We start from the raw sequence: 27,561 nt of genomic DNA, 5'->3' as shown, positions 1-27,561 counted from the left end.
TAATAGGTTACTTTCCACACATTCTAGTTATTCTTAATCCTAGACACTCACGGATTTAAGAAATGTTGAAAATTAAGATAGCTTATTCTCCTCCAATCCCTAATCTAGGCTTCACTTGCCTAGAACTGGTATCCCTAATGTGCTAAAGGTAGCAATGGGAGAGATTATAGGTGCCCTGATTTTGAGGGAAAAGAGGGGCAATTTTACAAATGCCAGAGTTAGTACTAATGGTGAACCCTTCTCAAGTGCCCTGAAGCTAATTTGCATATACTTCTTTTCTGTATTTCATTTTCAAATATCCCCCAGATTGTAATTTGCCGTGATTTTATTTTTCAGTGATTTCATGCTCATTTACTGGTACACTGAAAGTTTGAATATCAAAGCGTATATCTGTATGAATAGGTTGACCCTGTACATAAGTCATCATATGCAGCAAGGGTCAGACACTACACATAACCGGGGTGACAGCCCCATCAGTCCCTGATTTAATGACATGTTTGCATAATATGACTATACTAGAGAAAGTTTGCATAGTGGGACTATATTGCTGAGCAAGAAGAATGTGCCAATTAGAAACAATCCAGGAGACATCCCTATCAAAGGTGAAAAGTATTGTAGATGTATCAAAGATGAATTTCAGCAGGACCATAACCTGATGAGACTCATCAAAGTAGGAAACTGCCTTTAGAAAACTTCCTTTGAAATACCTGAATTCTTGAAAAAGTCCCTCAAATATTGATGTGTACTATCTGCAGCTTGTGGAACTGAATCAAACTATATTTAAAAAGGAGCATCTTTAATTTTCTCAGACTTCATAGAAAAGGAAATGGAGACTGGTCACTAGAGGGTTCTTCTTCCTTCTACTTCTGCTGAAGGGTAACTTCCGATATCAACTTCCTCAAACCTCTGATGAGCTGCTGCTGCTCGACTCTGAGGTGCATTCTTTTTTTGATGAGAGGCATCTCTAGGTACCATCCCTGACCTGGTCCTCATGCTGCCGAGGCTGTTGCTGTTGATCTGTGGTGAGTTGGGCAACTCAGAGCAGGGCATGGGATGCAATCATGCTTGGGCTCTGCTTCCTGAAGGGCTGTAAGGACTTCTTAGGACTAAGGTTCTGTCAGGTAATGCTCAGGGGTGCTCAGATCTCCACTTCCACGGAGGGCTCAGAGTCAGGCAAAAAGTTGTAGATATTTCAAAAAGCCAGAGTTTTCAAGAAAACTATCATTTCAGTTTTTATCTCATAGGAAGTGTTCACTGTCTGTCTTCCTTTCCATCAATAATTGTCTTTGTTCTCAGTGTTTTCAACAGCTGCCAAAAGAAAAATCTGTATAATAAATAGGCCTCTGAATTCCTTGCCCTTCTTACTACCAACGTTATTTCCTTTTATCCCTCTCTGACTCCCCATTCCCACAGTCAAACCTTAGAACTTATCATCACTCCTTTGTTTTCAGCATACATCCCCCACCCCCACTAAGTTGTGTTTCTAGCTCACTTTCTCCTGCACTCTATTTCCAACATGACTTCAATTACCCCAGGGCTACTTTTCCATTATCAGTAACTACACTTCATGTGCTCACTTCTCATGGTGCTCAGCTCAGATTCTGCAGCTCACCACCACAACACTCCCTCGAGCACACCTTCATCTCTCTTCCCCCATAGCACTCTCCTGGTTTACACGCCCTTCTGCATGCTTCACTCCTGGACATAAACAGCTGAATGGGATTTTTTTTTAAATGCACAACCCTGATGACTTATCCCCTTTTAAGTGTAGGACCCCCAAATCTCAGGTAGCCAACAGCAATGCCAGGCAATTATCCTACATGTTCACAGTCCATGTTGCTCCATTATCACTATTGCATACCTTATCCTGTCACCTCATACTTCTCTGTTCACTCTCATTGTGTAATCTTGCTTCATATTTCATTGAGAAAATAAAAGCAGTCAGAAGAAAACTCTCTCATCTTTCTGTTGCTGTTGACCTACTCACCTCTGCATTCACATACACTGCCTTCTCTTCCCCTACCACGAATATATTGCCCCTCATCTTGTTGATGACAAGACTCTCCACTTGTGCATTAGGCCCATGACCCTCTTACTTTCTCAAAAAGTTTGCTCCATCATCAATATGTTTCTTCATTCTAAATTATTCCCATAAGTATACAAACATGCTACAGTATCTTTTATTAAAAACAGCTTTATTGAAATATTATTCACATATAATACAATTCACCATTTAAGTTATGCAATCCAATGGTTTTTTATGACAATCACTGAGTGGTGCAACTATCACCACAATCAATTTCAGAATGTTTTCATCACCCAAGAAAGAACGCCATACCCACTAGCAGGCATCCCCAATTTTTTTTCCAACGCCTCACCTATCCTCACCCCTCTATTTTCTGGCCACATGCAATCATTATCTACTTTCTGTCTCTCTATATTTGTCTATTCTGGACACACACCCCATATCTAACTGTAATTATATATCCCTTGAGCAACATTTCCCTCATTCCTCCTTCCCCACTATTACCCAAGCTTCTTGTAACCATGATTCTGCACCGTCCTTCTATGAGATCAACGTTTTCAGATTCCACATGAGTGAGATAATGCAGTACTTGTCATCCTGTGCCTACCTCATTTCATTTAACATAATATCCTTCAGGCTCACCCATGTTGTTGTAAATGATAGGATTTCATTATTTTTTATGTCTGAATAGTATTCCATCATGTATGTATATTGCATTTTCTTTATCCATTAATTTTTTGATGAACATCTACATTGATGCTGTCTTGGCTATCGTGAATAGTGCTGCAATAAATGTGGGAGTGCAGATATCTCTTTAACACACTGCTTTAATTTCCTCTGGATACATGTCCAGTAGTGGGATGGCTGAACCATATGGTAGTTCCATTTTTTATATTTTAAGAGCCTCCATACTGTCTTCCATAATGGCTGTTCTAATTTACAGTCCCACCTACAGCATGTGAGGATTCTCTTTTCTCGACATCTTTGACAATACTAGTTATCTTTGGTCTTTTTGATTATAGTCATTTTCATAGGTATGGGGTAATATTTCATTGTGGTTTTGATTTGCATTTTTCTGTTGATTAGTGATATTGGGCATTTTTTCATATACCTGTTGGCCATTTGCATTTCTTCTTTTGAGAATTAGACCATTGTTAATAGGGTTGTTTTCTCACTATTGAGTTGTTTGAGTTTCTTATATATTCTGGATATTAACTTTTTCTCAGATGTATTGACTGCAAGTACTTTTTCCTATTTCATAGGTTGTCTCTTCACTCTGTTGATTGTTTCTTTTACTATGCTGAAGCCTTTTGGTTGTGTGTAATCCCGTTTGTCTATTTTTGCTTTTATTGCTTTTGCTTTTGAGGTCCTAGCCAAAAAAATCACTGCCCAAATCAGTGACATAGAGCTTTCCCCAATGTTTTCTCCTAGTAGTTTCAGTTCAGGGTCATACATTTAAGTCTTTCATCCATTTTGAGTTGATTTTTGTCTATGGTGAGAGATAAGAATCTAATTTCATTCTTCTATAAGTGGATATCCAGTTTTCTTAATACTATTTAGTGAAGACACTGTCCTTTCCACATCGTGTATTCTTAACACCTTTGTTGAAAATCAGTGGGCTATAAATGTGTGGATTTATTTCCGGGCTCTCTATTCTGTTTCATTGGTCTATGTGTCTGTTTTTGTGCCTGTACAATGCTGTTTTGATTATTATAGGTTTGTAGATTATTAGAGTTTTTGAAGTCAGGTAGTATAATACCTGAAGCTTTTCTTTTCTTCAAGGTTGTTTGGGCTATTCAGGGTTTTCTGTTTGTTTATTTGTTTTTAGTTCCATACAAATTTTAGGATTGCTTTTTCTATTTCTGAAGACAATGTCATTGGTATTTTGATAGAGATTGCATTGAATCTGTAGATGATTCTGGGTAGTATTGACATTTTAACAGTATTTATTCTTCCAATCCATGAACATGTGATATCTTTCAATTTATTTGCATCTTCTTCAATTTCTTCATTTATGTTTTATAGTTTTCACTGTAGAGATATTTCAACTTCTTGGTTAAATTTATTCCTAAGTATTTTATTATTTTATAACTATTGTGAATGGGATTGTTTTCTTAATTTCTTTTGCAGGTAGTTCACTATTAGTATATAGAAACACTACTGATTTACATATTTTGTCTATCTATCTATCTATCTATCTATCTATCTATCTATCTATTATCCAGCAACTTCATCAGTGAAGTTGCTGCCCAAATCAGTGACATAGAGCTTTATCATTTATTAGATAAAATTTTGTTGGTGGGGTCTTTAGAGTTTTCTATATATAAGATTTTGTCATCTGCCAACAGGGACAATTTAACTTCTTCCTTCTCAATTTGGATGCCCTTTCTTTCTTTCTCTTGCCTAATACTTTGGCTAGGACTTCAATTATTATGTTAAATAGAGGTGGCCAAAGTGGGCATCTTTGTCTTGTTCTAGATTTTAGAGAAATGCTTTCAACTTTTCCCCATTCAGTATGATATTAGCTACAGACTTGTCATATATGACCTTTATTATGTTGAGGTACATCTCTTCTACACCTAATTTTCTGAGAGTTTTTAACGTAAATGGATGTTGAATTTTGTCAAATGCTTTTTGTGCATGTATTGATCATGTGGTTTTTATTCTTGATTTTGTTAATGTGATGTATCATTTCTATTGATCTGCATGTTGAACCATCCTTTCATCCCTGAAATGAATCCCATTGATCATGGTAAATGAATTTTTAAAATGTTCTGTTGAATTTGGTTTGCTAGTTATTTTGTTGAGAATTTGCACATCTATGTCTATCGGAGATATCAGCCTGTAGTTTTCTTTTTGTTGTGTTTTTGTCTGGTTTTGGCATCAAAGTAATATTAGCCTCTTAGAATGAGTTTGAAAGTGTTTTCTTCTTTTAATTTCTTGGAAATCATTTGAGAGGAATTGGTATTAGTTCTTTAAATGTTTGGTAGAATTCAGCAATGAAGCCATCAGATCCTAGGTTCCTTTTTGATGGAAGACTTTTTATTACTGATTGAATTCCCTTAGTTGTTATTGGTCTGTTCAGATTTTCTATTTCTTCACAATTAAATCTTGAGAAGTTATATGTGTGCAAGAATTTGTATATTTCTTCTAAGTTACCAACTTGTTTGCATATAATTGTTCACAATAGTCTCTTATAATCCTTTATCCTTTATAATCTGTGATGTCAGTTGTGATGCTCCCTTTTTATCTCTGATTTTATTATTTGAATTTTCTCTCCTTTTTCTTATTTAGTCTAGCTAGTTTGTCAATTTTGTTTATCTTTTTAAAAGACTGACTCATTTCATTGATCTTTTGTATTGTTTTTCTAGTCTCTATTTCATTTATTTCTGCCACAGTCTTTATTGTTTCCTTCCTTCTACTAACTTTGGGTGGAGTTTGTTCTTGTTTTTCTAGTTCCTTGAGGTGAAACGTTAGGTTACCTATTTTAGATCTTTCTTCTATTTTTGATGTAGGCATTCACTGCTATAAACTTCCCTTTCAGAATTGCTTTTGCTATATTTCACAGATTTTTGTATGTTGTGGTTCCATTTTTATTTGCCTCAATAAATTTTAAAATTTCTCTTTGAATTATTTTTCATTGACTCATTGGTTCTTTGGGAGCATGATGTTCAATTTTCATGTATTTGTGAAGTTTCTGAAGTACCTTGTGTTATTGATTTCAAGTTTTATACCATTGTGGTCAGAAGAGACTTCATATAATTTCAATCTTTTTAAATTTGTTAAGACATTTTGCTTCCTCAAATATGATCTATCCTTGAGAATGTTCCATGTGCAGTTGAGAAAAATGTGAATTCTGCAGATATTGGGTGAAATGTTCTATAAATGTCCATTAGGATTATTTTGTCTAGCGTGTAGTTTAAATCTGATATTTCTTTGTTGATTTTCCATCTGGATGATTTTCCATTGCTGAAAGTGGAGTATTAAAGTCCCCTACTATTATTATATTGCAGTCTATATCTCCTTTTAGATCTAATAATATTTGCTTTATATATTTGGGTGCTCTAGTGTTGGATGTATATATGTTTAAAATTGTTATATCTTCTTGATGAATTCACCCCCTTATCATTATACAATGGCCTTCTTTGTGTCTTTTTATAGTTTTTGACTTAAATTCTATTATATCAGATATAAGCATAACTATTCCTGTTCTCCATTTTCATGGTATTTCTTTTTCATCCTTTTACTTTCTGTTTATGTATGTCCTTACAGGTAGAGTTTCTTGTAGGCAGAATATAGTTGGGTCCTGTTTTTTAAAATCCATTCAGCCACTCTATATTTTTTAATTGAATAATTTAATCTATTTACATTCAAGGTTACTATGGATAGGTACGGACTTAACTCCTGCCATTTTGTTGAGTGTTTTCTAATTGTTTTGTAGATCTTTCATTCCTTTGTTTCTCTCCTGTTGTTTATCTTTGTGTTTTGGTGGATTTTTTGTAGTGCTAGGCTTTGATTCCTTTCTCTCTCCCATTTACGTATCTGCTGTCAGTTTTTTCTTTGTGGTTACCATGAGGCTTATATAAAAAATCTTATAGTTATAATAGAGTACTTTAAGCTGATAACAGCTTAACTTTGGTCTAGACATTTACCATTGCCGCCATTATTTATATTTTTGTTGCCTTATGTTACATATTTTGTATTGTGTATTTCTTAACAACTTATCACAGCTATAGTTATTATTGACCATTTTGACTTTTAACCATCATAGTAGATATTTGAAAGATTTACAAATCACCGTTACAGTAATGAGATTTTCTGAATTTAATGATCAATTTACCTCTATTAGTTAATTGTACACTTTCACATGTTTTCGTGGAGTAATTATTGTCCTTTCACTTCTGGCTGGAACACTCTCTTATGCAGTTACTTTAAGGCTTGTCTAGTGGTCTTGAATTCCATCAGCTTTTGCTTGTGTGGGTGAGAGTTTATCTCTCCTTCATTTCTGAAAGACAGCTTTTCTGTGTATAGTATTCTTGCTGAAAGTTTTCTTCTTTCAGCACTTTGAATATATCATCTTATTCTTTCCTGGCCTGCATGATTTCTGGTGATAGATCTGATGATACTCTTATAGAAATTCTCTTATGTATGACTTGATGTTTTTGCTGTGTTTAGAATTCTCTTTGTATTTGACCTTTAACAATTTGATTATAATGACCTTGGAGAGGACCTCTTCAGGTTAAATCTATTTGGGGATTTTTGAGCTTCATGGATTTGGTTGTTCATATCCATCCCAAGACTTGAGTCGTTTTCAGCTACTATTTTATCAAATATGCTTTCCAAAACCTTCTCTATATCTTTTTCTGCTAGTACTCTAATAATACAAATATTTGCCCACTTAATGGTGTCCCATAAGTCCTGTAGGCTTTCTTCACTTTCGAAAAAAAATTTTCCTCAGCTAACTGGGTTATTTCAAAAGATCTATATTCAAGTTTAGAAATTCTTCTTCTTTATCTGGTTTGCTGTTGAAACTCTCAATTGTAATTTTTATTTCATGCATTTAATTCTTTAGCTCTATGAATTCTGTTTGGATTATTTTCATGATATCTATATGTTTTCAAATTTCCTGTTTAGGTCATAAATTGTTTTCCAGATTTTATTGAACTTTTCATCTGTATTCTCTTATAAGTGAGTTTCCTTAAGATTATAATTTTGAATTTTTTAGGCAATTAATAAATCTCCAGTTAGTTATTGGAAAATTATTTTGTTCTTGTATTGGTGTCATGTTTTCTCGCTTTTTCATGTTTGTTGTGTTCCTGCTTTACCATTTGTGCATCTGGTGGAAGAGTCACCTTTTTCAATTTTATAGAGTGGCTTTTGTAAGAAAAGACTTTCACCTGCAGATTGATCCTAGGGTGCCGATGGATCCTTAGTTTAGGAAGTTTCATTGGTTTGGTTCCAGGTGAGCATAGTAGTGTGGTCTCTGTGTAACTTCTTCAGCAGCAATCAATGTCAGCAATGCTTGTGTGTGCCTCAGTGGCCTAGGCTGTAGGAGTTTGTGAGGGTGGTGGTGGCAAGATAGATTGCTACAGTTCTCAGTGGCAAGAGCTTTAGGGATCTTCCTGTTCTTTTCCTCATAGACCATCATACCTGAGAGGGTGTCTTTTGGTGTTTGGCCCTGGCATGGGTCACAGGCAGGCATGGTAGTACTATGTTCCAGGGCACAGATGCTTGAGGTGGTTGTGGTCCTGCACTCAGTGTCCTGCACACAGTGCCACTACTATGGCATCTGTGCCTGGATGCAGGTTCATTGTCTTAGGTATAGATGGACACAGCTCTTCCACCAAGACAAAGAATGTGACTCTGAAGCACTCCCCAGTATCTCAGGCCCAACAGGCAAGGTTGTACCTGTGACTTTGATCCTGGGGGTCAAGATACAGCACTATCATGGCTCTAAGGATAAAGGGCTTTCCAAAGGCTCAGATACTGGGAAGCAGATCACAACTACAAATCAAATCCCAGAGTCAATGAGACACAGGGGCAACTTAGGCACCAGGAGAGAGTGTATTACATACTGGTGACTCTGGACCCTGGAGTGGTGGGACACAGTAGTGGCCCCTGCTCTGTGATGCCAGGTGTAGTGACCGGAAAGACCCTGGAATGGTGATAGGATGCAGTTGTGGCTTTGGCTCTGGAGAGCAGGGAACAGTGCAATATTGGGTTCACTCCCCAATATCACACCATCACACCAAGGAAATGGTGTGCCTCAGCAGCTCAGGCTTCAGAGGGCTAGTCCAGATTCAGGCAGGACACTTAGGCTGTTTGGCTGAGAAGGGCAGAGTAATACAGATTGGCAGGTGCTGTGTTTCCCCAGGGGTGAGGTGCCAGGCTGGTTTTCACACCAAGGGAGCATGCAGTTGGTCTGCTGGCTCAGCTGTGGCTTCCCTAGGGGCAGGATGCCTGACTGGGTCATATGCCAAGGAGGCAGGCACATGGCTGGTCTTCTGGATAAGGCTTGACTTCTCCACTGGGCAGGACAGCCTGTTCCTTGGCAGGGCAGAGTGTCATGTGGACTCAAGTGACAGGATCACAGCTGTCCCCCTGAGCCTAGGTTTTGAGTCCCTGGGGTTGGGGCACTGAAGCCACTAGGATGGAGAAAATGGAGTGATTCCTAGACAGCTTGTTCCCATGGATTAGGAAGCAGGGAAGCTTGGCTAGCAAATGGTGTACTACTGTGTGTAAGCATGATGCAAGGATGGTGAAGCCTCAAGGATGAAAAGATGCAGTGACTACTGCCCCCAGGAACAGAACACACTCTAGTAGTTGCTCTAGTTTCAAGATGGTGCTGTGCAGTAGTAGCTTGGGTCATGGGATGGGAGGAGCCACAGTATGGGCTCTTACTCTAGAATAATGCAGCCATATGAACTCCAGGCAGCTTCCAAAACTGGACTTAGGTCCTGTGAGAACTGCAGGATTCTCCAGCAACAAAGACTGCTGGTGTCCACAGATATAATGGGGGCTTCTGGGGACTTCTTTACCTTTTGTTTTCAGGGAAAAGCCCCTCCTAGGCTTGAATCCCAGCCTGCATTCCAAGCTGATCCTGACTGAGGAGACAGAGTTGCAGAGGCAGGTTGCAGGGTTCCATTCCCTTCTTTATGTAGCCATCCTGAGTTTCTGTGATCCACAAGATTTCTGCCATTCCCCTGCTGTACTTCAGTGCTCTCCTTTAGACACTCCAGTCAAAATGTAGTTGTTTCCTTATTGTTTCAGTCTTTTTTTAGGCGGGGAGGAGGATGAGTAATAGACACCTCTAGTCAGCCATCTTGCCGACATCACCGACAATGTCTTTTCTCTTAAAATAATAGAAATATGGCTTCCATTTACTACACAAGTTTTCTGTTTCCCTTTATAAAGTTTTCAGTGCACCAGGTGTGGTGGCTCATGCTATAATCTCAGCACTTTGGGAGGTTGAGGCGGGAGGATCGCTTGACATCAGGTGTTTCAGACCAGCCTGGGCAACATAGCAAAATCTTGTCTCTACAAAAAATAAAAAATAAATAATTATCCTGGCATTGTGGCACATGCCTGTAGTCCCAGCTACTTGGGAGGCTGAGGTAAGAGGATCACTTGAGCCCAGGAGGTTAAGGCTGCAGTGATCTGACCTCCAGCCTGGGTGACAGAGCAAGATCCTGTCTCAAAAAAGTAAAATAAAACAAAAAGTTTTCAGTGAATTGCTGTCTTTGCTTCACTTCCTTTCATTCTTTATTTAATATTTATTTTTAATTTACATTACATTAAGATTTACTTTTTTGAAAGACTGTCTATAATTTTTGACAAAGATTTAGATCCATATAACCACCAGCAGAATCAAAATACAGGACATTTTCATCCCTTCAAAAATTTCCCGGCTGGGTGCAGTGGCTCACGACTGTAATCCCAGCACTTGGGGAGGCCGAGGTGGGTGGATCACCTGAGGTCAGGAGTATAAGACCAGCCTGGCCAACATGGTGAAACCCCATCTCTACTAAAAATACAAAAATTAGCCAGGCGAGGTGGTGCAAGCCTGTAGTCCTAGCTACTCAGGAGGCTGAGGCAGGAGAATTGCATGAACTTGTGAGGTAGAGGTTGCAATGAGCCAAGATCATGCCACTGCATTCCAGCCTGGGTGGCAGAAAGAGACTCTGTCTTAAAAAAAAAAAAAAGAAAAAAGAAAAAGAAATTTACTTATGCCCTCACTCCCTTTTATGGTCAAATCTTCTCCCATTCCTAACCCCTGGTAAACTCATTTAAGTCCTTACACTTCTTCCTCATTCTTCCTTGAACCCACTTAAATCAATCTTTCATCCTTACCACTCCATTGAAACTGTTCTTGCACATAGCATCAACCATCTTCATGTTGCTGCATCAAGGGGTCAATTTTAATTTTTTATTTTACTCAATTTCTCAGGGGCATTTGATCACTCTTTATTTTTTGAAACACTTTTAATTTGGCTTCTGGAATATCATATTCTGCTGGCTTTCTTTCTAATTCAGTATCTGCTACTTTTCAGTTTCTTTGCTAAATTATTTAATTTTTTTAGAGTCAGGGTCTTACTCTGTTGCCCCAGCTGAAGTGCAGTGGTATGGTCATGGCTCATTGCAACCTTGAATTCCTGGTCTCAAGTGATGCACCTGCCTCAGCTCCCTGAGTAGCTGGAACCAGAGACACATGCAACCACACTCAGCTAATTAAAACAATTTTTTGACCAGGTATGGTGGCTCATGTCTGTAATCCCAGGACTTTGGGAGGCCAAGGTGGGTGGATCACCTGAGGTCAGGAGTTCAGACCAAGCTGACCAACATGATGAAACCCAGTCTCTACTAAAGAAAAAAAAAATACAAAATTAGCTGGGTGTGGTGGCTGGCACATGCCTGTAATCCCAGCTACTTAGGAGGCTGAGGCAGGAGAATCGCTTGAACCCGAGAGGTGGAGGATGCAGTGAGCCAAGATTGTGCCATTGCACTCTAGTTTGGGCAAGAAGAGTGAAACTCCATCTCCCCCAAATCATTTGTGGTTTTTTTTGTTTGTTTTTGTTTTTGTTTTTGTTTTTTACAAACAGGGTTTTTTTTTAAATTAATTAATTTATTTTTTGCCACCCAGGCTTATCTCAAACTTCTGGCCCCCATCAATCCTCCCACCTCAGCCTTCCAAAGTGTTGGGATTACAGTCATAAGCCACTGCATCTGGCTTGGATCTTTTGCTGACCTCAAAATGTTGGACATCCTCAAAGTTGATACCTAGACTTCATCCATACTCACTTCCCCAAATTATATAATTATGTCACTTCATGTGCCACTTTAAGCTTAAATGCAAGCTTATTTCTCCAGCTTTCACCTCTCTTTTAAATACCTCTTATGTACTTAACTGCATTCGGGTATCTAATAGACATCTTAATAAACATCTTAAACTTAACATCAGGTGTTTAACAGGCATCTTAAACTCAAACAGATCTCTTGATCTTCCACCTGTACTACCACCACCACAAAACTTAACCTATTTTCCCCCACAACTTCTCCAATTCAGGAAATGTCACTACCATTCTTCCAGTTGCTGTGGCCAAAAATCTAAGAGTCATACTTAATTCCCCTCTCTCTCCTTTTGCACTTTCTATTTAATCCATAAGCAATTCCTATTAATTCTACTTTCAGAATTTATACTAAAGTCTGACCACTTCATATCACCAGCACTGTCTAATCTTAGCCACTATCTTTACTCTCCTACACTAAATTCCCACTAACGTTCTCCCTGCTTTTCTTTCACTTCTATACTGCTTTCCTCACAGTGTCTGAGTGATATTGTAAATTAAGTAAGAATTGTCCATAGCTCCCCATCACACCTAGAATGAAATCCAAAACTATTGCCAAGTCCATAAAGTGCCCATGACTGGATCCTTCCTATTTCTCAGACACCGATAACTAACCCCTGCCCCCTTACTTGGTCAGCTCCAGGTGCCCTTGCCTTCTCATTCCTCCTTGTACAAGCGTATTTCCTCCTCAGGATACTTGCATTCGATGTTTTCTCTGCCAGGGATGCTCTTTCCCAAATATTCAGAAGGCTTGTTTCCTGATTTCATTTAGGTTTTTACTGAATCTATCTAAATCTATCTAAACAGTTAAGACCATCTTAAGATGCTCTGTATCTTATTTCTCTGCTTTATTTTTCTTAGAGAACCAATCACCCTCTGAAAGAATATTATATACTTATTTTTAAATTGGCTCTCTACCACTATAATATGAATTTCTTGACATCAAAGATTGTCATTCATGTTTACTCCCATCACTCCAGGGCCATGCACAACGTCTGGCATACAGTGAGCACTTCAAATTATTTGCTGTATGGACAAGTGTATGGAATATGATTTTATGCTCTCTCCTATTGACACTTTTCTCCTACCTAAGGAACTAATTATTCAAGTAAACATTTAACCTAAGAAAAAGTAAGTATCTCAAACCAAGCTTGGCTAAAATAAATAATAGTAATGACACAATATTTACTGAATAAGTAAATTCCAGGCACTAGTCTAAGCTCCTTAATCTTCACAAAAACTCTGTGAGGTAGGTACCACAATTATCTACACTTTACCGACAAGGAAACTAAAGCACAGAGAGGTGAAACATTTCTCCCACAGTCACACAGCTTGTAAGAGGAAGAGCCAGTACTCAAATCTGTGTCATCCAGCTACAAAGCCTCCATTTTCCCCAGAATTATTTTTTCTTGATCATTGAGCCATAATATTATGGTCAAGTCCTTGGGATAGAAGAGAATTTTTGGAGAAATTTGAATTCCTTTTCTGGACCTAAGCCTCCTCTGATCTGAAATTGGTAAACAAAGGGTCTCTATGCCTTGAGTATGAGGCTGTGCACTCTCCTTGCCTGACTCTGTTGTTCCCTTGAGAGAGTCAATCCAAAGCTGGATCCTCAAGACTTTTGAAAGGAGGCGGTGGGAATGGGAATGAGGAGCTTGAAGAAGGAGCTGCTAAGTAGTTAGCAAAGATGCCACCTCCTAGTCACAGACAACACAAGTCATTGGCAATTACTTTGTGATCATAAAAAAGAACGATGTGTTGTTCTGTGGGCAGGTGCTCTGTGGGTGATGCAGAATATGGGAAAAGGAGCAGAGAGAAAGAAGAAAAGAAGCAGGGGTAAGATAAGGAGGGAGGAAGAGAAGATGAAAGAAGGAAGGGGAGAAGAGAGAAAGAGGGAAAGAGGGAGGAAGAGAGAGATGCAGGGAGGGTCCAGGGGATGGAGGGTGTGGTGTTGGGGAAGCTCTCAAAGGATTTAAACTTTGGAGATTTGTGGGATTTGCTGCTCTGTACTGATCTCTGCTGAATTCTCTCCCAGCTCCACTCTGTGAACCTGCCGGTGAGTTGCACTTCCTTTTCTTCTTCAAGGTCTGTGGGTATTTTGTTACTTAGGTCAGCACAGGAGGCCTGCAGATTGCTGTCTTAGCAGCCCCTTCCTGCCCAAAACATATCAGGGTGACAGCTGCTGAGGTGTACAAACATCAGTGGCTCCCTTGGGCCTGGGCTGCTCTGTCTTCACATCAGTCTCTGCACCTGACACGTGTCTGCTCAGTGGGGTGAACAGGTCTTGCTCTGACCTTCTCAAGAACACAGTCTTACTTCCGGGAAGTCCCAGCACAGGGAGGGAGACACTGTTTGCACAAGGAAGGCAAAGGGTGCTGAAGATTCATGCTAGAAGCATCTCTGTCCTCCCAGCCTCAGGAGCTCCAATTCCCAGTTGTGCTTCTCAGCTGGGTGTGTCACCATGGGTGATGAAGGAAATGCCAAAATCACACATCCACGGAGAACATTAGAGAGAATCCTCCAGACATGTGTGGAATGAAGTAGTACTGCTGCCTCCTTCCTATTTTTAGCTCTCCTCTGCAGCCACACCTGTTACCCCAGCTCATTTTCTCTTTCGGACTCTGGTTTATGCAAACTTACTTCATTGCACTGGTCCTGATTCAAAGTCTTACCTTTACCAAAGAAGGAGAGTAAGCAATCCCTTTCCCCACGAAGGACTCTTCACTAGATCAAGCTCAATGATAAAATGTAAAAATTGCTATCTTGTGCAGAAAATACTAGCCACAGAGTTAAAAGAGATTGTCCTGCCACCTCAAGAACATCGGCTGCAAGTGCAAGTAGGGAACACAAGTTCCCAAGTTCCCTAGGAATTCCTGTGACCAGAAAGATTCAGAGAGATTCAGGGTCAATCTAGCCTTCTAGGTTCCTTATCTAATGTTTGTCCAAGTATAACTGATGACTTGTGTTAACACCATGCATGCCTTGTGTCTGGTCTCATCTTTACCCCTAAACCCAAGTGCCCAATCTCAGCCTAAGCAGAAATCCAAAGCCATATCAAAGATGAAGAAACCAAGTTTCTGTCACCAGGTATTTTCCAGATAGTCTCTGCTATCTAAGAATTATCTGAAACAAGCTCTGAGCTGTAAGACTGAGCTCCAGACCCTTGCAATCCACCCTGTCCAGTTTCCCACTTCATTACCACCCTAGCCCCATTGAGAATAGTGGGTTACAGATGCCCAAATGCTAAATGCCTTTCTTTTTTGAGACAGAGTCTCACTCTGTTGCCCAGGCTGGAGTGCAGTGGTGTGATCTCAGCTCACTGCTACCTCTGCCTCCTGGGTTCAAGTTATTCTCCTGCCTCAGCCTCTGGAGTAGCTGGGGACTACAAACTCATGCCACCACGCCTGGCTAATTTTTGTGTTTTTAGTAGAGAGAAGTTTTGCCGTGTTGGCCAGGCTGGTTTTGAACTCCTGACCTCAGGTGATCCACCAGGCTCGGCCTCCCAAAGTATTGGGATCACAGCCGTGAGCCACCACACCTGGCCTAAATGCCTTTTTATTTATTGCCCTGCCTAGCTCCAAGAGCTGTGCTACTGGTCAGTCTTCTGGGGACCACAGTTTTCCAAGGAAAGACAGTGACTCTAAGATATTCCATGCCTCAGGACAAAGCAAATATTCTGGTACTATGGATGGAACTGATGTTTAAAAGTTTCCAAAAACAAAAAAACACATTTCAGCCGAAAAGCTGAATTCCTAGTAATTCACCCTTTAGTAATCCAAAGCAATTGTCATTTTCATCTGGTAAGGAAAGAATAAAGTTTTGTCTTAGGGAAAGTATAATATTTTTCAAGGGGCAGAGGCTCTGAGGGTTGGATAAACAAATGCCCACACAGCCCATAGCTATTAGGGGTTGTGACATTTTTATGGGCTGCTGCAAGTTGGGGAGACGAGGAGAGAGCAGAGCACAATTTTATCATCTTATCACCAGAAAAGAGCCCCAGGCCGGGAGTGGTGGCTCACACCTGTACTCAGTACCTTGGGATGCCAAGGCAGTAGGATCACTTCAGCCCAGGAGTTCAAGACTAGCCTGAGCAACATCATAAAATCTTATCTCTACAAAAAATAAATAAAATTAGCTGGGCTTGGTGGCATGTGCCTGTAGTCCCAGCTACTTGAGAGGCTGAGGTGGGATGACTGCTTGAGCCCAGGAGGTTGAGGTTGCAGTGAGCTGAGATCGCATCACTGAACTCAAGCCTGAGAGTCAGAACATGACCCTGTCTCAAAAAGGAAAAAAAAAAAAAGAAAAAGAAAAGAGCCCCTAACACCCCAAAGGGACACATCCCTGAGAATTAAGATATGAATTAAATTAGCTCTTTAGATCATGGTTTCTACAGAGGTTTGTAAAGAAGCTGTGTGGATGGTGGGTACTGGGCATTTCCAAGCAAATACACCCCATTTCTTCTAATAGAAATAGCAATAATAGGGGGAGGACAGAGTCAGCAATGAGGGGATTGGGTTCTTCTACGTCTTTCCTGGACAGATCGACCCTGCAGGTCCCATATTCTGTCTTTGAAAAAGATAGTGTGGTTGTGGTTCTGAGATGCCAGGGGAAAGGGAACAGAAGAAGATAATGAACATAGCTTAGAAGGATAAAAGAAGCATATTCACTTTGAATAAAACTTCAAGCTTCATCATCTCCAATGCCGACTCCAGTAACAGTCTTCAGTATTATTGTACTGGCTTCAAGAAAGGTGTTTTTAGTTTATGGATAGAAACTTCAAAAAATAATAAGATCCAAGTCAAAGGTAAGAGTTACTTTCTGAAAGATAATACTGCACAGGGGCAGGATGTACCAGGGGTGAGCAGGGTGAGTTCATGGCAAAGGAAAGCCCATGGGCCACTGGGGGGGGGGTGGAGACATGTAGGGTGGCCTGTGTGTCCAACTGGCTGTTTCTTTGAGTCTTGTTGGCAAGTGCTGAGACACAAACTGCCTCTTACCAGAAATTCCGAACCGCATTAATCATTTGTGTTTAATTCCTCTCTCTAGAGCTGTTTTTGATAGCCAGCCCCTCCCATCCCACAGAGGGGAGCCCAGTGACCCTGACGTGTAAGATGCCCTTTCTACAGAGTTCAGATGCCCAGTTCCAGTTCTGCTTTTTCAGAGACACCCGGGCCTTGGGCCCAGGCTGGAGCAGCTCCCCCAAGCTCCAGATCGCTGCCATGTGGAAAGAAGACACAGGGTCATACTGGTGCGAGGCACAGACAATGGCGTCCAAAGTCTTGAGGAGCAGGAGATCCCAGATAAATGTGCACAGTGAGTGTCAGTGGGGTCAGTCTGCCAGGATAGGCTGAGAAGGGCAGTGGCAAGAGGCTAATCCTCACTGTTATGGGTTCTATCTCTGCAAGAGTAGGAGCTGTTTGAAAGATATTCCTGAGTTTCTCTCATTATTAGGATCCTTAAGGGATCTTCCCTTATTCACTCTGTTTCCATTCAGGCAAACAGAGAGTACTTAGGAAACCCTTACTGTGTGTCTTCACTGTGCTGGAGGGTGTGGGGGGAAGAGCTGCATAATATTTGGTCCCTGACTACACGAAGTTGATGCTTAGCCAGCACTCTGAATAACTAGGGTTAAATATGTGGTGCTGCATTGTGTAGGACTGGCTGTTGACTACAGAGAAGGGGGATAAAGGACTGAGATGTTCAGAGAAGGCTTTGCTGAAGGAGTGTGTAGAATAGGTTACTGGAGCAGGGCTTATGGAAGGGCAGTTGGAGCTTGATTTCCAAAAAATAGAAAGAAAAGAGTGCTTCATAATTCATCTTGTTATTCCATGTCAGTGTTGACACTTCCAACATCCTCTCCCATTCTGTCGTGCCATGAAGCAAATGTCTAATACTTCCAAAAGGCTGTGCTCTCCCACGCTTGCTAAAAACTCAATACTGGTGAAACTGGACCACCACCACCACAATAATCACTGAGCAATTTATACATGGCAGTCCCTATCCTAATGCTTCACAGATATTGTGTAATTGAACCCTCCAACTGCAGGAGATAACTATCATTACCAGCTCTCTTTTACATATGGAAAATTGTACTTCAGAGAAGTTGAGTAATTTGATCAAGCACACACAACGAGTAAAAGAGTTGGAACCACTCTTCAAATAAGGCAGTTCGATTTACAATTTAGACTTGTAATCACTTCACTATACTATTGTTTCTTGAAAAAATGAAAGTTTGAGAGATTAAGGTAGTGGAAGTCATGTTGTTCTAGGGAGAGAGGTGATGCTATGCCTTGTATGGTAATACTATGGTGTCTTTCTTATCCTACCACCATCACCCAACCAATCAGCAGACCCCTCCCCACCTCACCCAAATTAAGCTATATACATCATTGACTTCACTCATGCTCTTTGCTTTCAGGACCGTCATATCTACTTACTGTCTTTGAAACTCTCCCTGCACAGGGTCTTCCTATGTCATCTTGTGTCCACACAGGGGTCCCTGTCGCTGATGTGAGCTTGGAGACTCAGCCCCCAGGAGGACAGGTGATGGAGGGAGACAGGCTGGTCCTCATCTGCTCAGTTGCTATGGGCACAGGAGACATCACCTTCCTTTGGTACAAAGGGGCTGTAGGTTTAAACCTTCAGTCAAAGACCCAGCGTTCACTGACAGCAGAGTATGAGATTCCTTCAGTGAGGGAGAGTGATGCTGAGCAATATTACTGTGTAGCTGAAAATGGCTATGGTCCCAGCCCCAGTGGGCTGGTGAGCATCACTGTCAGAAGTAAGTTCCACTACCCTTCGTTCAGCCAGCCAGTCACAAACTGGGCTCCACATTTCCCTGGGGCACACAAAGTTTCCCTGGGGCATGCTGAGGAAGTTCAATGGGGCTGAGCATCGGTGGGCAGGGATTATGAGTTTGCTGCATTGTCAGAGACTGTCTCTTACAGTCTACTGTCTCCCTCAGTCCCGGTGTCTCGCCCAATCCTCATGCTCAGGGCTCCCAGGGCCCAGGCTGCAGTGGAGGATGTGCTGGAGCTTCACTGTGAGGCCCTGAGAGGCTCTCCTCCGATCCTGTACTGGTTTTATCACGAGGATATCACCCTGGGGAGCAGGTCGGCCCCCTCTGGAGGAGGAGCCTCCTTCAACCTTTCCCTGACTGAAGAACATTCTGGAAACTACTCCTGTGAGGCCAACAATGGCCTGGGGGCCCAGCGCAGTGAGGCGGTGACACTCAACTTCACAGGTATAGCTCAGGCTATGGAACTGTCTTGGTCAATGTCTCCTTCCCAGCGTCCTGGGAGAGTTTTGCTGGTGCCACTGTGCTTCCGGGGGTTTGCTACCCATGGTGGGGCCTCTGTGTGAGGTGCTGTCATGAGTGATGTATTGGAGGGGCATGGAGAACTCAAGGTTGGGTGCAGCTCTTCTCTTGTCATAAAGATGATAAGCCACAAGTCCCTAGACAAATAAATAAATCCCCACTTGGAAGAGCAGACCTTGGGCACAACCCACACCCAAGATGTCTGCTCTCTAAGCCCCAAGCCCTTCCTCTGAGCAGATCATGCACAGGTCTCTCCCTCTAGTGCCTACTGGGGCCAGAAGCAATCATCTTACCTCAGGAGTCATTGAGGGGCTGCTCAGCACCCTTGGTCCAGCCACCGTGGCCTTATTATTTTGCTACGGCCTCAAAAGAAAAATAGGTTAGTATTTAAAGAGAGTGGCATTTTGTTACTGTGATCTTTGTTTTCACTGAAATAGGCTGAAATTGTGACATGTATACTGCAAAAGATGTATATGCTGTTAACACCTTGCCTATGTTTCTGCCCACAAAGCCAGCGGGTAGGAACAGTGCCTATTAATACAGTGTAACATTTTTGGTAAAGTTCTCCATCCCTCATGTGCTATCAGTTGAGGTTCGAGTGATATTTTGTGCTTCTGTGATTTAATTTTTATACAAAAATGTAATGATTTGGCCGGGGGCGGTGGCTCACGCCTGTAATCCCAGCACTTTTGGAGGCTGAGGTGGGCAGATCACAAGGTCAGGAGATCGAGACCATCCTGGCCAACATGGTGAAACCCCATCTTTACTAAAAATACAAAAATTAGCTGGGCGTGGTGATGCATGCCTGTAATCCCAGCTACTTGGGAGGCTGAAGCAGGAGAATCACTTGAACCAGGGAGTTGGAGGTTGCAGTGAGCTGAGATCACGGCACTGCACTCTAGCCTGGTGACAGAGTGAGACTCTGTCTCAAACAAACAAACAAACGAATGTAACTATTTAACATAATCTGCCACAGAAGAGAAATACTGTTAGCAGTTCCAGCTATCCTGACTATATCGCAGTACTAAAGTCAGTGCATCAATTCTTATTCACCTTCAAGTATTGTGACATGCTTTTTCTTCTCTCTGAACCGCACATTCACACATCCACATGTTCACTTACTGCTGGAACTTTCTCACTTGTCCTCTGAAATGACATTTTCTCCAAGAGGCTTCACCTGGCGTGCACAGCCTGCAATTGTTCTCTCCTATTATGAGTTCCAAGTTATTTAGATTCACACGTTATCACAACTGGTAATTACATATTTATTTGTATATTTAACCTTGGTCTTCTCTTCACTGAGGAAGTTGGAGACAAGGCAAGAGAGGACACTGTGAAATTCTCATTTAAATTCCAAGCTTTTCTGACATATTTGGGTACCTCACACCGTCTATATCATGCTTGTGGCAGCATCTGCCTCCAAGGACTTTTGTCACAATAAGATTGGGTGGTGTGGTTGTAAAACAAAACCAAAACATACAATAAATGTGCAAGTTTAGAGACTTGGGTCCCAAGTCCTAGATCTGGTACTAATTGGCTTTGGGAATCTCACTTAATTATTCAGGACCTGAGTTTCCATCTGTGAAATGAAGGCTCTGTAAATGATTGCCAGGATGTCTGCTGGGCACACAGTGGCACCCACAATGGGCATCTGAGCATGAGGCATATCCCTGTGCAGGGGGTATGAAAACACTGACAGTGCTGACAGTGAGGGTTCTTCCATTTATGTGTATGCTCATTTGTTTTTCTTTCAGGAAGACGTTCAGCCAGGGATCCACTCAGGTGAGGCCTGTTTTCACTATAGGTGTCAATAATGCAGAAAAATCTATTTTAAAAATAGATTTAGATTTGTTCTCTCCTGAGCATTTTTTTTCCGGCTTTATTATACCCAGAACTCACTCCTGAGTTCTCCCACTGGCAACTTTGAACAATTCATTGTCACTTCCCTTCTTTTAGATTTCGTACATTAATGATTTTAAATCTTTTCATTATTTTTCCTGTTGATCCCCTTCAATACCACTGCAGAATTTTTTTTTAATTTTATTATTATTATACTTTAAGTTTTAGGGTACATGTGCACAACGTGCAGGTTTGTTACATATGTATACATGTGCCATGTTCGTGTGCTGCACCCATTAACTCGTCATTTAGCATTAGGTATATCTCCTAATGCTATCCCTCCCTCCTCCCCCGCACCCCACAACAGTCCCCGGTGTGTGATGTTCCCCTTCCAGCAAAGTCTCAGGATACAAAATCAATGTACAAAAATCACAAGCATTCTTATACACCAATAACAGACAAACAGAGAGACAAATCATGAGTGAACTCCCATTCACAATTGCTTCAAAGAGAATAAAATACCTAGGAATCCAACTTACAAGGGATATGAAGGACCTCTTCAAGGAGAACTACAAACCACTGCTCAATGAAATAAAAGAGGATACAAACAAATGGAAGAACATTCCATGCTCATGGGTAGGAAGAATCAATATTGTGAAAATGGCCATACTGACCACTGCAGAATATTAAAATCACATTGCGGCTGGGCACAGTGGCTCGCACCTGTAATCCCAGCACTTTGGGAGGCTGAGGCGGGCAGATCACCTGAGCTCAGGAGTCCAGACCACCTTGGGCAACATGGTGAAACCCTGTCTGTACCAAAATACAAAAAATTAGCTGGACGTGGTGATGCACGCCTGTAGTCCCAGCTACTCAGGAGGCTGAGGCAAGAGAATCCCTTGAGTTCGAGAGGTGGAGGTTGCAGTGAGCCGAGATGGCACCACTGCACTTAAGCCTGGGTGACAGAGCAAGACTCTGTCTCATAAATAAATAAATAAGTAAATAATCACATAGCTTTCACCAGGATCATGCATTCACTCAATCAGTCAACCAATATTTGAGGATCTGTAAGTCATTCTGTTGAGTGCTGACAAATGTGAAAATATAAAAAACTCTTGAGAGTTTTAAAGTATTTTAGGGTAGGTAAGATACATGTACATTTCTGGAATGTAAGACAGACAGGAATGAACATACTGAACAGTTATTGGTGAAGTTCTTTAGATGTTTAGAGGAAGAAAATATTTTTTAAACTACTTCCATCTAGAGATCCCAATGTTTAGTTGTCTTTTTAATATAATGTATTATCATTTATGCCAACAATAAACAGGTATTCTTTTTTTTTTCAAATGAGAGTAGCACTTTTCACTGGTACCCGCACATGAAGGAGCATTTTCTTCTGCCCCTTCCTCAAGTTGCTTGTTCTGCCCAGCAAAGTGTTTTCCATCTGGAGTGAATCAATATTTATTCATTTAATATTTAGGGAGCACTCATGATGTGAATGACACTATTCTGGGAATGGGAAATACCACACCTTACGCTCATGGAGTTACCCGCTGGTGCATGCTCTGCGGTGCCCCACTCAGCATGTGCACAGAGCCGTGACTCATACCACACTGCTGTGCCTTCTAGCTGCTCATTTCCCCGTAACTTAGTATTCTGCTCAGGACAATTTGTCACAGGCTTCTCTCCTTCAGTGTGATATCTGCATGATCTGGGATGCAATTTCAGATAAATAACATGTGTCTCTGTGTTTGCAGGAGCCTTCCCAGCCCTCTACCCCAAGAGTTCACCTACCTCAACTCACCTACCCCAGGGCAGCTACAGCCTATATATGAAAATGGTGAGCCTTCCCAAATGGCCCAGGCCAACGATGGTACAGCAAGCTAGGGAAGGGACAATGGGATAACATCTGCTAGCCAAACCTGACTTTGCTGTGCCCTAGCCTCTGCTACAAACAAATGACTCATCTGTCTTCATGGCTGTGACAGGTGGAAGGTATGGAGTAATTTGAAAGACAGGAATCAGGGGCTGTGTCATGAAGTCTCCCTCCTTCTCTTGCAGTGAATGTTGTAAGTGGGGATGAGGTTTATTCACTGGCGTACTATAACCAGCCGGAGCAGGAATCAGTAGCAGGTGAGACATGGGGGAGTAAATTTGTCTCTGACTTTTGTCTTTCCCAGAACCAAGAGAACAATCAGTGGCTGTGCATGGCAGACAACAGCATTCCTCAGAGCAGAAGGCTGTGAGCATCACTGTGTGTACTTAATGGCTGTCCTTGGGTCTGGAGCTACCTTGAGTAGAGCCCAGAGCTAATGCTAAGGTTCTTTCTTTCCCCTGGGGATGGGCTGTCAAATTTCTTAAATTATAGTCACTTAGAAAGAGCAAAAATCCCATGGCTTACCTCTTCCTGACCTCCCAACACGATGGAGGTAAAACATGTAGTTACAATAAGGTGTCATTGTATGGCCTACATTTTATGCCTCGCTCCCCAGTCATGTGGCAGCATCAGAGGTGATGGCTTCTGCCTGCCCTCTTTAAGTAGCCTGACATACTCCTCATAACCCCATCACAGCTGCCTAGCTGGTGCTCTTGTCCCATCCTACACATGGTGAGCCCAGAATAGCTGAGAGGTATAAAGGCCCCTCCTGGCATAGAGGGTCTACTTACCCTCCCACCCCCAGGCTACCAATTTTCCTCTGGCTACTAAGGGAATCACATTTGTGATAAACAGAAAAGCAAGACAGAAAATATTAATGGAAATCAATTCATGGGAAATAGATGGGAGAGGAAGAAGCTTTTCTTAACACAAGTTTAGTGAAGGACTTTAAATATAAGTGGAATGTCACAGCACTTGTCTTTTCTCCACAGCAGAAACCCTGGGGACACATATGGAGGACAAGGTAAGAGTCTCTATTGTTCTTTCTTCCATGTTCTTTCTTTCCTCTGGGGACTGGTTCTCAAACTTCTTAAATTATAGCCACTTAGAAAGAGCAAAAATCCCATGGTCTACCTCTTCCCTACATCCCAAAGCAATGGAGGTAAAAACACATAGTTACAACAATAAGGGGTCATTGTACAAGGAAAGTTTGAAGGCTTACAAATACATTTACTTTAGCAATGGACACATGAATGATTTTTAGCTAAACTGCAGTGCATACCTAGTCTAAAAATTCTATTTATTGGAAAATCTTTATCCTAAAATATTGTTGAGCCATACATCCATCACTTTGTACTATAAGGTTAACCAAACAATCTACAGCAACTAAATTAATATTGAACAAACCTAAGCTAATAGTAATTTGTGTCACTAAAAATTAGCATTTGGTAAACTTTGAATAATTCAAGGTATCACCACTGATACAAAAATACTTTCTTAAAACTGCAGAAATTCCAGCTCTGTGCATGTGTGCAAAAACAGTAGGTGCTTTGCAGTTTTGTCTAGTGTGGTGTGGCAGCCAGATATCTCAGAACAAAATTCAAATCCTTGGTGAAGTCCAGTGACATGCTACATTTAATTTATGAATATAAAATTCTGACAACCTTTTAAAAAATGACAGCCCATGGGCCTGCCTAACAAAGGCCCATAAGAATGAGCGAAGGCACTGTATGTTTGCATCAGTTTGCAGCTTATCAGGAGCATCTTTGTAGTCCACCAGTGGGATACAGGCACTCTAAAAATGCTGGCCTTGGACCACAGTTTTCCAAGAGGCCCTTATTTTTGCATTGCGTGATGTGCCATGATAAGATGCATCCAAGCTAACTGGGGAAGGGGACCAGTGGAGGCATGTTCTGCTTGTCTTCCCTGCTCTAGTCCTAATCTTTGCTTCCAGGTTTCCTTAGACATCTATTCCAGGCTGAGGAAAGCAAACATTACAGATGTGGACTATGAAGATGCTATGTAAGGTTATGGAAGATTCTGCTCTTTGAAAACCATCCATGACCCCAAGCCTCAGGCCTGATATGTTCTTCAGAGATCCTGGGGCATTAGCTTTCCAGTATACCTCTTCTGGATGCCATTCTCCATGGCACTATTCCTTCATCTACTGTGAAGTGAAGTTGGCGCAGCCCTGAAGAAACTACCTAGGAGAACTAATAGACACAGGAGTGACAGGGACTTTGTTATCAGAACCAGATTCCTGCCGGCTCCTTTGAAAACAGGTCATATTGTGCTCTTCTGTTTACAAGAGGAAACAAGATGGAATAAAAGAAATTGGGATCTTGGGTTGGAGGGACAGTGAAGCTTAGAGCACATGAACTCAAGGTTAGTGACTCTGCAGGACTTCACAGAGAGAGCTGTGCCCATCATTCAGTCCAAGTGCTTTCTCTGCCCAGACAGCACAGAACTCCAGCCCCGCTACTTACATGGATCATCGAGTTTCCACCTAAAATATGATTCTATTTATTTTGAGTCACTGTTACCAAATTAGAACTAAAACAAAGTTACATAAAAAGTTATTGTGACTCCACTTAATTTTAGTGACGTATTTTTGTATATATAGGCCAACCTATACCACATCCAAAATTATGTATCTATTACAGCCCCTAGAAGCTTTATAAATACAGTGTGTCTTCTTTTATTCACAAAATTTTTGAAATCGTGGTAATATGGTTTGAAACCTGTATCTTAATTATTTTTTTTTTAAATTGAGACAGGGTCTCACTCTGTCACTCAATCTGGAATGCAGTGGCACAATCTTGCCTCACTGCAACGCCTGCCTCTCAGGCTCAAGCAAACCTCTCACCTCAGCCTGCTGAGTAGCTGGGACTACAGGCACATGCCACCAAACTTGGCCATTTTTTGTCTTACGTAGAGACAAGATTTCACCGTTTTGCCCAGGCTGGTCTCAAACTCCTGGGCTCAAGCAATGTATTGAATTTTAAAATAACCAGGCACTCACTCTTATGAATTAATAAACATTTGGAGGTATATAAAGTAAAAAGTTAAAGTCTTTCCTGTAAGTTAACACAAATGTTAACTATTGTTAAAAACTTTACAGGTAGCTCTCTAGATATTTTTCTATTTTTGTATGTATACTTATGCATACATGTAAGTATATAAACATTTAGAAGTGTACCTATCTAACAAACTATTATGAAATACTTTCAAATCTGTAAATAGATCTATTATACTATTTTAAAAGTCTCTATAGTAGTGTGTTATATAGATAAATCATAACTTTTTTCTTTTTTTATTGTAGTAAATATGCACAACATAAAATTGATCATTTTAACCATTTTTAAGTGTACAATTCAGTGGCATTAAGTACTATCATAATATATTTTAATCCTTCTCATCACTGGTGGACATTAAGGAGACTCTCAAAAAATTCATATTATAAAAACAAAGTTCAAACAAATGTCTTTGTACTAGCATATTATGGCACTCCTGCTGGATTATCTGAAGGATAAATTTGTAAATCTAGTATTGCTAGATTATGCATATTAAATATTCTTGTTAAATAGTCTTCAATGTCTCTCAGGTAAGGCTGTATCAATTTATATCTTCACCAACAACGTCTGGGAAATCAGTTTGTGGGGTGTATTACTTAGTTTTCACATTGCTAATAAAGACATATCCAAGACTGGGTAATTTATAAAGGAAAGAGGTTTAATTGACTCACAGTTCCAAATGGCTAGAGAGGCCTCCGGACACTTACAATCATGGCAGAAGGGGAAGCAAACATGTCCTTCTTCACATGGCAGCAGGAGAGAGAAACTGTCCTCTGTTCAGCCTTTGCCCATCTTCTATGTCATTTGTGTTTTTCTTACAGTTTTTATAGGAATGATTTATTAAGGCTTAATTTATAACAGTGAAATGCATAGATTTTATGTGCATAGTTCCATCAATTTGACAAATGCATGCATTTGAGTAATCCAAACCCTTATCATGAGATAAACTATTTTCATCACTCCAGAAAGTTCCCTCATACTCATGTCCAGTCTATTTATGCCACTCTAGAAACAACTACTGAACATTATGCTTTTGACCATTTCTCCATTGTATGCGATGACAATGTTTTTGTGCAATCTTTCACTTCACTTTTTGTTTACAGTGAATTCTAAAATACTGAAGGTTAGTTTTTGCACAGCTAAACTCAAGTTTTTCAAATCTTGGTTTCTAACTTTCCTATATTTCTGTCATCTTCTATCAGACCATGTTGCCATGTTATAAAATATTCTTATATTTTCTTATAATGCCTCCATAGTTTTATTATATATTCACTCAATACATCATTTTTCTATGTGGTATGAGGTAAGAATCTAACTTTTACTGATTTTATCTTTATGCATTTTTTTTAATTTAAAATGTGGGGTAGGGATCTAACTTTTTTCAAACACATATAAATTGTGCACTACTATTTATTTAAATAGTCTGTTCTTTTCCCTTTTATTATTATGCTATCTTATCTCACTTGAATTCAACCTAAGCCTGTTTTAGACTCCAACTAATACTACAGATCTTCCTACCACTCTTCCCCTTGCATAATTAACTTCAAGCACATTAGCCTCCGGGTTCCTCAAGCACACCAAAT

General features: G+C 40.7%; 1 protein-coding gene across 18 annotated transcripts, besides 2 other annotated features; it reads left to right on the top strand.

The window, feature by feature from the left end:
• The first annotated feature begins 908 nt into the window (after positions 1–908).
• Positions 909–26,626, top strand: FCRL1 (Fc receptor like 1). Of its 18 annotated transcripts, none has more exons than XM_011509126.2 (12): positions 909–1,022; positions 13,907–13,927; positions 16,918–17,184; positions 18,365–18,652; positions 18,836–19,114; positions 19,452–19,568; positions 20,944–20,971; positions 22,786–22,868; positions 23,090–23,097; positions 23,209–23,270; positions 23,900–23,928; positions 24,859–26,626. In XM_011509126.2, the coding sequence occupies exons 1-12, from the start codon at positions 992–994 to the stop codon at positions 24,915–24,917; spliced, it is 1,272 nt and encodes a 423-aa protein (XP_011507428.1). In that variant the 5' UTR covers positions 909–991; the 3' UTR covers positions 24,918–26,626. The 18 variants fall into 18 exon arrangements, 17 of the variants coding, with proteins under 17 accessions (XP_011507428.1, XP_011507427.1, XP_011507435.1 ...); XM_011509125.2 differs by having other exon boundaries at positions 23,897–23,928; XM_011509133.3 differs by lacking the exon at positions 23,209–23,270 and having other exon boundaries at positions 17,033–17,184; positions 23,090–23,161; positions 23,897–23,928.
• Positions 14,320–14,369: an enhancer, noted in NCBI's record as "active region_1895". NCBI's record gives its function as "activates an Ori minimal core promoter by ATAC-STARR-seq in GM12878 lymphoblastoid cells {active_cell/tissue: GM12878}" and the evidence as "EXISTENCE:reporter gene assay evidence [ECO:0000049][PMID:35858748]".
• Positions 14,400–14,459: an enhancer, noted in NCBI's record as "active region_1894". NCBI's record gives its function as "activates an Ori minimal core promoter by ATAC-STARR-seq in GM12878 lymphoblastoid cells {active_cell/tissue: GM12878}" and the evidence as "EXISTENCE:reporter gene assay evidence [ECO:0000049][PMID:35858748]".
• Positions 26,627–27,561: the final 935 nt, after the last annotated feature.

The sequence above is a fragment of the Homo sapiens genome, chromosome 1, assembly GCF_000001405.40.
Source record: "Homo sapiens chromosome 1, GRCh38.p14 Primary Assembly".
Classification (NCBI taxonomy): domain Eukaryota; kingdom Metazoa; phylum Chordata; class Mammalia; order Primates; family Hominidae; genus Homo; species Homo sapiens.
This window is presented reverse-complemented; position numbering and strand designations above follow the sequence as displayed.